This window comes from Homo sapiens, chromosome 16, assembly GCF_000001405.40.
Source record: "Homo sapiens chromosome 16, GRCh38.p14 Primary Assembly".
Lineage (NCBI taxonomy): Eukaryota > Metazoa > Chordata > Mammalia > Primates > Hominidae > Homo > Homo sapiens.
In genome coordinates this window covers 48424136-48436375 of record NC_000016.10, presented here as the reverse complement: position 1 = coordinate 48436375, position 12240 = coordinate 48424136, and the positions used below count along the sequence as shown (strand labels likewise).

Here is a 12240-nt window from a genome sequence, read left to right as displayed (position 1 = left end):
AGATGGTTTTATGAAACCTAATTCCCTCTGTTATTTCTAAATATGCCACTGAGAACTTTAAGACTTGCACACAGCTACTGCTTTCCACTGCAGGCGGGAATTGCCCTCCAGGTGGGAGAGCCAGAGAGGGATGCAATCAGTCCCAGGAGGTTAAAGCCAAGGCCAGGACTCCAATGCTTTGCCTAGGACTTTGTTGTCATTTTCTTCTTGGAAATGGGCCATGATTAGAGAGGGCCAGAAAGGAGCTCTGCTCTGGGGAGGTGAGCCAAGCAGCAGATCAGCCTCGTACTGGTGCAGCCACAAGTGCCAGGAAGCACCACTTTGTGTTAGATGTCCTGAGAATTTTCATCAATGCCCTTGCTGGATGGGACTGATTCCGGGCCAGGCACACATGAGGGCCTCCCAGAAGGCAGGATTCTTCCCATTTGTGACATTAGATCTTTAAAAAGTAAAAAAGCCGGGCGCGGTGGCTACGGCCTGTAATCCCAGCACTTTGGGGGGCCGAGGCAGGTGGATCACTTGAGGTCAGGAGTTTGAGACCAGCCTGGCCAACATAGTGAAACTGTGTCTCTACTAAAAATGCAAAAATTAGCCTGGCGTGGTGGCATGTGCCTGTAATCTCAGCTACTCAGGAGGCTGAAGCAGGAGAATCGCTTAAACCCAGGAGGTGGAGGTTGCAGTGAGCAGAGATCACACGACTGCACTCCAGCCTGGGCGACAGAGTGAGACTCCATCTCAAAAAAACAAAACAAAAAAAATTAATACTTTGTAGATCTGTTACTTATGTAGGTTTTACCCACAGTCTGGGCAAGGGGCAGCTTGGTGACCGTGGATTCACAGTCGTGTCAGCACCTCCTCCTTCCTGGGTCCCAGGTTTCCATCAGGGGTGCTCCCGGCAGGGGGCAGCTGGAAACTGCCCCAAGCAAGACTCGCCAAACAGCAAGATGGGTGGCAAGGGTCCAGGAACAGGTTTTGGCAACACAGAGGGAAACACATACTAAGTGAGTTTATTTTTGTTTTTTCCATCTTTAATTGAGTATTTACTTCGTGTCAGGCACTGGGCTAGGCACCTCCCATGTCTTGGCTCATCTAATTAACACAGCAACCCAGGAGTCAGGTGCTATTTTAAATTGCTGTTTTGCAGAGGAGGTGCACCAAGGCTCAGAGATGCAAAGTAACATGCCAAGGTCACACAGCTGCCTGGGGCCCCTATTGCAAGAGCAGTGTCTAAACTCCTCAGCCTGGGAGGCAAAATAAACATCTGGTGAGGCAAGGGTCAGTCACGGAGAGGCAGAGGGAAGTTCCAGCTTGGGGATGGTGGAAACGTGCTGACGTGAAAGTTGGGCCAAAATAGGCACACAAAGGAGCCAGCTAGGGGTTTGCTCTGCAAAACCAATGATTAGTGTTCTTGGAAGCCATGTTCCTGCTTCACCTGAAGGCTCTGCCTGGTGTTATCTTTCTTCACATTGACTCTGTCCCAGGAAGCCTTTATTTCTTGCTTACCACAGACAGGATGGGGCAACTGCTCTGTACTAGAGCTGCCTAAGAGCTGCAGGAAACACAGATATTGACAGCACAGGATCTCTGCTCTCAAGAAACCCACAGGGTAAAAGGAAGAGGAACATTTATCCAAATGGAAATGACCAAGCCATGCCTAAGGAGAAGAGTGAGCAAACCGTCAGAGACACAGAAAGGAGGGCTATCAGGGAAGACTTCTCAGAGGAGGTGGTCTTTGAACTGGACCCAGAAATGGACCGGGGATGCAATAGTTGGATTGAGAGGAAAGGCTAGTCCAGGCTGAGGAAATAGGTACAGAGGAGGAAAGGGTAGGAAATGGTTAGGACAGGGGAGGAGCCAGATGTGGCTGGAGTGTGAGCTGTTGGGCTAGAATAGGATAAGATGAGTCTGGAAAGGTAATTTGGGCCAGATTATAAAAGCTCTTGACTGAAGAAGCGATATTCCGCCAGCAAGAGAAGCATGTGATATAAGCTTTTCATGAATGAGAACCTCGGCTCTTACATCAACACATATCCTCAGAACACTGCTGCAGGACAGGGGTCAGGCTCCCAGTTTTACACAGGAGGAAACCAAAGTTTGTAGCAATTCTTATTCTACACTTCCTTCCTCCTCCACCATTAAAGATGTCTTTCTTGGAGGCCCCCTCTGTTGTCTTGAGGACAACCTAATCCAATCACAGGGTCCTTGTGGCTAAATAAAATCATCATTTCCCCAAGAGAAAGGCTACTCTGAGAGGCATGGGGAAGGGAATAGGGTGCAAGACAGGGAGGAAAGAAACCTGGGTTCAGTCTGGACTCTATCAACAGCCTGTGACCTTGGGGAAGTCACTTCCTCTCTCTGGGTCTTGGTTTCCTCATCTGTAAAGTGAGGAATTGAAGTGAATACTTGCCAACTCCCAGAGTCTGTGCATAATTAAATGAGGCCCGGGTGTAGAGGGAGAGAAGGGAAGGAGCGTGCCTTCATTTTTTGGTATTTTTGAGTGTGTCCTGGACACTATGCCTCATGCAAAGGACAGGGACATAGGAAAGAATATGGCTCCCTAAGAAGGAGAAAGACAAGTGAAATGACAGAAACAGAGGCATTGAAAACAGCAGGGCTCAAAGTTAGGCTGGAGGTCAGGGAGGGCCTCGCAGAACTGGAGCGTGAGCAGCCTGTGAAGGAAGGACAGGAACTCACTGCCCGGCGATCAGGACGGCCAGGGCCTTCCAGGCAGGGGAGCTGTGTGGACAACGCAAGGAAGGCGGCAACTGCGTATCTGTTCAGGCAGGTGCAAATATGGATTGGTAGTGGGGTAAGGAGGACCGTGGAGAAACAGATCGGGCTGGAGAGGTCAACCAGGCCTCGTGGCCAGGGAGAAGTTCTGACCCGGGGGTCTGATCAATAACTGATGGCAGGCTGATTAGAGGACCTCCCACCCCCGCAGAGGCTCCCTGTCCCCCTGCGCAGTTCTCACCTCCCCACCAAGGCAGAAAGACTCAGCACAGCTGCCTCTTATGTGCAAGCTGGAGGAGACAAGCAGGGCTCCAGGTGGGAGTCACAGAGGCCCTTGGTTGGTGCAAAATTGAGGAAACTAGGACACCTGCTCTCTGCCTGACAGAACTCTACAAACTGCAGCCTGAGTGTGCACAGCATTAAAACTGTGATTTCAGGCCGGGCATGGTGGCGCATACCTGTAATCCCAGCACTTTGGGAGGCCGAGGTGGGTGGATCACTTGAGGCCAGGAGTTCGAGACCAGCCTGGGCAACATGGCAAAACTCTGTCTCTACTAAAACTGCAAAAATTAGTCAGGCATGGTGGCACATGCCTGTAATCCCAGCTACTCGGGAGTCTGAGGCATGAGAAGCACTTGAACCTGGGAGGTGGAGGTTGCAGTGAGCCGAGATGGCGCCACTGCACTCCAGCCTGGGCAACAGAGTGAGACTCCATCTCAAAAAAACAAAAACAACTATCATCTGAGCCAAAGAGAATGCAAAATCCGGCAGCATGGATTCAGGACTCAGGGCTCTATCCCGGGGAGCATCTCTCCAGGCCAGGTATAAGCATTCAATAAATATGCTAACTTTTTATTTACTCTTTATTTTATTTATTTGTTTGTTTATTTTTGTAGGGAACAGGGCCTCGCTATGTTGCCCAGACTGGTCTTGAACTCCTGGCCTCAAGTGATCCTCCTGTTTTGGCCTCTCAAAGCGCTGGGATTACAGGGATCAGCCACTGCCCCTATGTTAACTTCTTTACATATTAATGCCCCATCCCCAGAGCCAATAAGATTACCAGCTTCATGAGGGCAAAGACAGTGTCTCTGCCACCTTTATAGCCCTCTTAACTGTTGGCATCCTGCTTTGAAGTTCCACAGAACTGAGTTCTGTGCCAAGCTGGGCTACTTCCTGCTGTGTGACCTGACAAGCCACTCGTCCTCTCTGACTCTGGAGAACAGGGATGATCAAGCCCAGGCCAGAGTGTTGGAAGGATCTTTGAGTGACTGCCACTCCCCTGCACTCCATTGAGGCAGCAATTGTGACTATTGTTATTGTGATCTCTAAGTGGATGAGGAAGTAGACCTTGTGTGAAACTTCCCCTTTCTGGGTTTCCAGTTTCTTCAGCTGTAAACAAAGGTGCTCGACTTGTCTTTGGTTCCACTTGGAATATCTCTGTGAACAGAAGAGATGTTCCAGGATCTTCTTGCAAGAGGAGTCTCCTGGCTGCTGGCTTCCCAAGAAGCACCCTTGCCCTAGGATCCATGGAAGTGATAAGAAACACGGTGGTCCTAAGTTCTTAGACTCTTAGAGCAAAAAGTTCATGAATCCTTCCAAGGATGGGCTTTAGGGGTGGCCCAGGAGCCTCCTAAATTGGGTGCAAAATGTTATGAATACATTTAATAGGGAGAAGGCCCTATTAATTGCCATTTTAATTCACAAAATCTGTCTACTCTCCTAAAGGGTCCTTGAAGGTGTGCGCTGAATCTCCAGGACTCAGCCTAGTGTATATTTTTGTGGAGTGAAGTAAATGAACATTTGTGAGCTGACATCCTGCTTCAGCTGTGTGTTTTGTCCAAGGTGTGAAAAAGACCTGAATTTAAGGTGACTTCTGTTAATTCCATGGCAAACCTCTTTCAACAGACAAAATTACAACAAGTTTAGTTTAAAGATCTTAATTGGCTTTTATTTGTGATTCCAGAATCAGGCAACACTTATTTCATAAGACAGATGAGTGCTCTGACAAGCTGAGCAGAGGAGCTTGGTTTTATTTTATTTTTTTAATTAATTAATTTTTTTTTTTTTGAGATGGAGTCTCGCTCTGTCTCTTAGGCTGGAGTGCAGTGGCGCCATCTCAGCTCACTGCAACCTCCACTTCCCGGGTTCAAGCGATTCTCCTGCCTCAGACTCCCGAGTAGCTGGCATCAGAGGCATGCACCACCGCGCCCAGCTAATTTTTGTATTTTTAGTAGAGATGGGGTTTCACCACATTGCCCAGGATGATCTTGAACATGTGACCTCAGGTAATCCGGCCACCTCGGCCTCCCAAAGTGCTGGGATTACGGGCGTGAGCCACCACACTTGGCCCGGAACTTGGTTTTATAAACAGAGGGGCTGAGGGAAGCAGAAAGAGAAAACAGAAAGTGAATAGGTCATTTCAAAGCCACTTTTCTTGTAAAGGTTAAAGCAGAGGGGACTTTTTTTTATCATGCCAGCTAAAACCAGACTGTTTGGGGATTTGGCTATTATCGCTCTCTCTCTGTCCTGATTTCTTGGAAGGTCAGATAAACAACTTACTTTCAGTTTGGTGGTGTGGAACTTCACATGAGTGACTCCATTCTGGTTTGGTCTGTTGAGCCTGGTGCGGGAGCTCGGTCCAAACCAATGGCCTCCTAAAAATCTTATTTCATACCCCAATAATTTTTAGATTACAACATCCTACTGTTTATCAAATTTTATGCAGGTTCCTATACTCCTCTGTATTCCCCTTGCCTCATAATGTCTACAAATGCTGATGAGTATAAACTGTTTAAATCATAAAATATATTAAAAATAATTCTGTTGGGACATCTTTAAGACTCTCCTAGCACCATTGAAAGTTGTTGGTGCTTCCCCCATGGTACTGAAAAACTGAGATTTAGAAATACCATTGCCTACTTTAGGAATATAGTTTAAGGGAAAATGTGGGTTATAGCCTGTGTCCTAGAAACATTTCAAAGCCAAAAGGTCTTTTAGACATTCTGTGGGTCTTGGTGACATGGTTTGGTAGCCAGGGCAAAGAGGTGCTCTGGCCTCAAAACATCAGAAGGCCCTTCTCAGCACTGCTTGACTATATCATACAATGTAGTGCTTGTTTATTGTCTTGTATTATTTTTATTTTTATTTTTTTTAGTTTCCTTCCATCCTGGTCAATTGCATTGTTTTTAAGGTCTGTATTATTAAAATAATAGATGCACAAGGTAATAAATTATTATTATTATTATTATTCTGAGACAGAGTCTTGCTCTGTGCCCAGGCTGGGTGGAGTGCAGTGGTGCGATCTCGGCTCACTGCAACCTCTGCCGCCTGGGTTCAAGCGATTCTCCTGCCTCAGCCACCCGACTACAGGTGTGCACCACCATGTCCAGCTACGCTTTTGTATTTTTAGTAGAGACAGGGTTTTGCCATGTTGCCCAGCCTGGTCTCAAACTCCTAAGCTCAGGCAATCAGCCCGCCTCAGCCTCCCAAAGTGCTAGGATTACAGGTGTGAGCCACTGCACCTGGCCTACATGGTAATAAATTAAATAGCTCAGTATTACTGATGACAACAGTCTTCCATCCCATGCCTCCCAACCTCAGAAGCTGTCTTTTCACCACTAGAAATCTGAGAATCTGAGACCTTTTTTTTTTTTTTTTTTTTTTTGAGATGAGGTCTCTCTATGTTGCCCAAGCTGGTCTTGAACTCCTGGGCTCAAGTGATCCTCCTGCCTCAGCCTCCCAAAGTGCTGGGATTGCAGGCATGAGCCACTGCACCCAGCTTAGGATCTGAATTTTTTTTTTTTTTTGAGATGGAGTCTCACTCTATTGCCCAGGCTGAAGTGCAGTGGTGCCATCTCGGCTCACTGCAACCTCTGCCTCCCAGGTTCAAGCGATTCTCCTGCCTCAGCCTCCCAAGTAGCTGGGATTACAGGCGTGTGCCACCATGCCCAGCTAATTTTTGTATTTTTAGTAGACACGGGGTTTTGCCATGTTGGCCAGGCTGGTCTTGACCTCCTAACCTCAGGTGATTCTCCTGCCTCAGCCTCCCAAAGTGCTGGGATTACAGGTGTGAGCCACTGCACCTGGCCTGGATTTGAATTCTTTAGGTGGCTAATTCCACCTTGGAAGACATCTATTGACTCATACAATGAAACATGAGAATTTAACGCTCACTTTACCTCCCTAGTTTCCTCCATGTTTGACACTTCTAGTATTACTTTTACTTCATCTATTGGTTACTATTGTTCATTTACATATTCCGGATTTTATATCTTCTCCATCAACCTGACAAACTCTCTTCACTCCTCACTTTGTAAGACAGAACCCATTAGCATTTTCTTCACACTTTTTCCTCCACTTCCCATACTTCTTTTCTCAGCTACACTTATAGTACAACATAAAGAAAAATGCACATATCATGAGAACAGCTTGATGAATTTTCATAAATGGAACTGGTTTCGTAAATAGAACTGTTACAGTAGGTAGCTAGACATGAGCAGGCAGAAGAGGCCATCTCCCGCCATGACTGGCAGGCATCTGTCAGGTGATGGTCAGGCAGTTGTTACACTGTCTCACAGAGATCATTACTGGTCACAGCCAGCACCAGGCAAAGGTAGTCTCCCAACAGATAGAAAAACCCTGAAGCTGGTGATTAGCTTCCTAATAAGATCTCAGAAGCTGGGTGAGTGGGCTCACACAGGCACACTAAGAGGCAAAATTAGAGTTTAACTGGTTCCTTATAGGAACACGCAATTGGTAAGGGAAGACGTCTCAAGTGAGCATGTGCACAGCTCCAGGAAACACACTGTGCATGCTCCTTTCCCAAGTGCTGGCAGGCCACTGCAGCTGCGGACAGCCCACCCCAAGGGAAGAATCAGGGAGAAGGGAACCAACACCCCCAGAAACATGCCAACATATAAAACCCCAAGTCAAAGGTCAAAACAGTGCATTTGATCTCTCAAGTCACCCACTTGGCCCTCTTCCAAGTGTACTTTACTTCCTTCCATTCCTGCTCTAAAACTTTTTAATAGGCTGAGCATGGTGGCTCATGCCTGTAATCCCAGCACTTTGGGAGGCCTAGGCAGGCAGTTCATTTGAGGCCAAGGAGTTCAAGACCAGCCTGGCCAACATGGTGAAACCCCATTTCTACTAAAAATACAAAAATTGGCCAGGCACAGTGGCTCATGCTTGTAATCCCAGCACTTTGGGAGGCTGAGGCAGGTGGATCACCTGAAGTCAGGAGTTTGAGACCAGCTGGCCAACATGGTGAAACCCTGTCTCTACTAAAAATACAAAAAATTAGTTGGGCATGGTGACAGGCCCCTGTAATACCAGCTACTCAGGAGGCTGAGGCAGGAGAATTGCTTGAACCCAGGGGGTGGCGGTTGCAGTGAGCTGAGATGGTGCCACTGCACTCCAGCCTGGGCAACAGAATGAGACTCCATCTCAAAAAAAAACAAAAAAAAAAAATCTGGATCATGAGCCATGGCTACAAGGGAAGGGGGCCTGGAAACAGAGTCTGCAATGGAAACAGAATCATTCATCATTCATGCATCAGCCCTTAAGATGGCACACAGGCAGCCTCAAACAAAATCTGGTTCCATTAGGAAAAAAGAAGGGAAAGAATCGTTTAGGGGTAGGTAACTGTTTGCATCTACCACAGACACCCACATCTATACAAGAGGTACACACATTCTTGTGAAACTCACACGCTTGCCCTCACACCTGCCCAAGCAGAGAGAAGAGGCTCCCCTCTCTGCTCCCAGAGCCCCCGTGGACACCTCAGTGTTGGTGTTAATTACCCGGCTTGGAGCTGCTTGGTCTCTGTCTTGTCTCAGAACTGTGAATTCCACGGAGGAGGGATTGTGTGGTCATCTTGGAATCTCCAGAGCCTGACCTCCAATAGGGCATTTGAGACCTACTGAGGAATGAGGGAAAGACAGGAGAGAGGGAGAGGTGGAGGGAGGCAGGATAGGCAGGAGAAACAAGGGAGTCATTGGTATCTTTTGGATTAACTTTTCTGGCCCCTGAGAACAATGTCTGTTGGTTTTGGATTCTGGAGCTTTTAGTATAGTCTGGTCTAAATTGGAGTTCACAGAACACCCAGAATGCAAAGCGAACATGGCTTCTTTAGTTTTTCAGTGTCCGATGAGCTCTTTACATTGCAGAGAGGTGAGGGTGAGAAAGGAGAGCTGCGTCTGCTCCATCTGTGTCTGTGTCTGGCAAACAGGAGCCCAGGGCAATGATTTCTCAGCTACTTTAAGGCCCACCCCTTCTCTTCCCCAGGATGGTGCCTTGGTACAGAGGGTCACTGAGTCCTGGAGATGACAGAAGGGTCATTCCCATCTAGGTAGGGTCCTATGGACGTGCATTGGTCTCTGAAGCTGAGCATCTCCCTGCCCCTGCCCCTGGGACTGGCGATGCTGAAGTGTGAGTGTACGTCTGGCACCATCCGTGCTCTGGGCCATAGAGGCCTCAGCACCCAGCCAGGCCTCTGAGGGTCCACAGGCTCTCTCAGGCTCTCTGCATCTCCTTGCTGGGACCTGGGGAAACCTCCAGGTCCCTGAATGCCACACCTTGAAGAGCCAAGGGGTTCTGCCCTAGACTCATTTTTGTAGCTGTGTTTGACACCACGTTCTCTTCAGTCTCTTGTTAAAAATGTTGCCAAACCACAGGATAGGCCTCCCAGGGCTGGCAGCCTCCCCCAGACAGTGTCCAGGGAAGCAAATCATGAGCCTTCATGTCTTCAGGCTCCATTGCTCCCAGCTGGGTGAGCCTGAATCCCCTTCTCACCTAGGCAGAGCCCCAAAGAGAAACAAACATGAAGGGCCCAACCATCTCACCTACCTCAAGATCCCTGCTTCTCACAATCCTGTGAAGAGGAAAGAACAGGCTTTTCATTTTCTTCTGTATGACTGAGACTTCCACATTTGCACTAAGCCATACCCTCCTCTCTGACTGCAGTTTCACAGCTCAACTCTGGTTGCAGATGGGGTACCTGCAGGGAGAGAAGCCAGCCCACCAGTATGGGAACATACACATTATTTCAAAATATCAGGCTGGGCACAGTGGCTCACACTTGTAATCCCAGCAGTTAGGGAGGACAAGGAAGGAGGAGCACTTGAGCTCAGGAGTTTGAGATCAGCCTGGGCAGCATGATAAAACCCCATCTCTATAAATAATACAAAAATTAGCCAGGCGTGGTGGCATGTGGCTGTAGTCCCAGCTGCTCAGGAGGCTGAGGTTGGTTGGGAGGATGGCTTGAGCCTGGGAGTTCAAGGCTACAGTGACAGACCTGCACTCCAGCCTGGGTGACAGAGTGAGACCCTGTCTCAAAAAAAAAAAAAAAAAAAAATCATACTGGTACAAAATGAACCCAGATACACTTGAAAATAAGAACTTTTTACTAAAAAATACAGGGTAGCCAGGCACAGTGGTGCATGCTTGTAATCCCAGCTACTCAGAAGGCCAAGGCAGGAGAATAACTTGTGCCCAGGAGGCAGAAGTTGCAGTGAGCCGAGATCGCACCACTGTGCTCCAGCTTGGGCAACAGAGCAAGACCCTGTTTCAAGAAAACAGATAAATACAGGGATCTCTTACATGGATCTCAAGGCAGGGAATGAAGTCTACTTAATTCAAATCAAATGGCAGGATGAGGCAGTCCCATGGTCCCCTGCAGTAATGAACACGTCATTTCTCAGTCTCAAAGACAGATTCTCAGGACAGAATTGGTTGGCCAGGCTGGGTCCTGACCAGGGAGTGGGATCATGAGGTACAAATGTGGCTTCCAGGGAGCCACCAAGGTGGGAGAGGACATTGTGGGGGCAGTTTCCTAGGAGGAACAATGGTTTCTGGGCTAGGCAGACACCTTTCATATTGTCCACTTTGATAGAGACCCAAACAAATAATTGATGAAAATGAACTTAGGTTCTCAGAGCAACATAAACATACTTCATTAAATATGAGCTTTGTCAAAGAAAATACAAATGCTGTTTTAGCCCATATTCAGTGTAAATATGTGGCTTTCTAAATATTTTCTGTATTAGAAAGATAATTGACTTGCCACTTCCACCACGGTTATTTTGTAGGACATCTACACGTCCTGCCTCTCCTGCATAGGAGACATGAGGTCCGGAAGCTTTGTAGGTGTTAAAGGAAAAAAAGAGTGATGAGGTGACCATGGACTCTAAGATCTGACACCAAAAGTAAAAGCAACAAAAACATAGATAAATTGGACTTCGTGAAAATGTAAAGCTTTTTAAAAAATACTTTTATTTTTTAATTTTAATTTTTTTTTTTTTTGAGACAGGGTCTTACTCTGTCACCCAGGCTGGAATGCAGTAGCATGATCTCAGCTCACTGAAACCTCTGCCTCCTAGATTCAAGCAATTCTCCTACCTCAGCCTCCCGAGTAGCTGGGATTACAGGTGCTACCACACCCAGCTAATTTTTGTATTTTTGTAGAGACCAGGTTTCGTCATGTTGGCCAGGCTGATCTCGAACTCCTGACCTCAAGTGATCCACCTGCCTCGGCTTCCCAAAGTGCTGGGATTACAGGTGTGAGCCACTGTGATGGTGTCACTCCAGCTTGGGTGACAGGGTGAGACCCTGTCTCAAACTGGTACAAAATGAACCCAGGTACACTTGAAAGTAAGAACTTTTTGTTAAAAAGATACAGGGTAGCAAGGCATGGTGGTGCAAGCCTGTAATCCCAGCTACTCAGAAGGCCAAGGCAGGAGGATCACTTGAGCCGAGGTTCTTCCTAAGGGGTACAGAGTTTCTGTTCTTGGTAATGGAAAAATTTCAGACATAGTGGTGATGGCTCTGCAATATTGTGAATGTCATTAATGCCACTAAATGGTGCACTTAAAAAGAGTCAAAATCACATATTTTATATTGCATATATTTTACCATAATTAAGAGAAAAAAAGCAATGAGAATGCTGAGTGAAAATTCTCAGGACTACTGGTACAGGGCTGCACCAAATTCCCCAAACGTGGGAGCCAGGCCTGCTGAAATTACTACATCATTAGTTCTGTTTGTTTCCTTTGTCAAAAACAAACAAGCATGTAAGAAGAAAGAAAAAGGGACATGGTTATCTGTACCCTCTCTCATCTTGATTTGGAAGGGGAAATACCACATTGTAATTGTCATGAGTTGTAATTAAAAGGTACAGGTTGATGACTGCATGGCAAGGTTCCCCTTTAAGGCATCATAATGCTATTAGGTGCTTATCTCCGGTTAAAAATGAGAGCTGCATTCGTGCATTATGTAGTCAAGCAGTCTTTCGCCATGTGTGTATCCATATCTAAAAGTGTGGTTATTTGCGTGGCTGAGTACCCTAGACTGAAAGAAATTCACCATATGACAACTGGAGTCAACAGACTCTGAAATCTATTTCTATCAAATATCTAAAGTAATACTACTATGCTGTTATAAAACAGTTATATTTGATCCAGCAATTTCAATCCTGGTTATGTACCCCCCAAAAATGAAAATGTATATCCACAG

The 12240-nt window shown here is 46.9% G+C and overlaps 4 annotated features.

Moving 5' to 3' along the window:
- Positions 3745-4289: an enhancer, noted in NCBI's record as "OCT4-NANOG hESC enhancer chr16:48465998-48466542 (GRCh37/hg19 assembly coordinates)". NCBI's record gives its function as "activates a minimal SCP1, AML or CMV promoter by ChIP-STARR-seq in primed H9 embryonic stem cells {active_cell/tissue: H9 hESC(primed)}" and the evidence as "EXISTENCE:reporter gene assay evidence [ECO:0000049][PMID:30033119]".
- Positions 3814-3933: an enhancer, noted in NCBI's record as "active region_10794". NCBI's record gives its function as "activates an Ori minimal core promoter by ATAC-STARR-seq in GM12878 lymphoblastoid cells {active_cell/tissue: GM12878}" and the evidence as "EXISTENCE:reporter gene assay evidence [ECO:0000049][PMID:35858748]".
- Positions 5181-5370: an enhancer, noted in NCBI's record as "active region_10793". NCBI's record gives its function as "activates an Ori minimal core promoter by ATAC-STARR-seq in GM12878 lymphoblastoid cells {active_cell/tissue: GM12878}" and the evidence as "EXISTENCE:reporter gene assay evidence [ECO:0000049][PMID:35858748]".
- Positions 9286-9345: an enhancer, noted in NCBI's record as "active region_10792". NCBI's record gives its function as "activates an Ori minimal core promoter by ATAC-STARR-seq in GM12878 lymphoblastoid cells {active_cell/tissue: GM12878}" and the evidence as "EXISTENCE:reporter gene assay evidence [ECO:0000049][PMID:35858748]".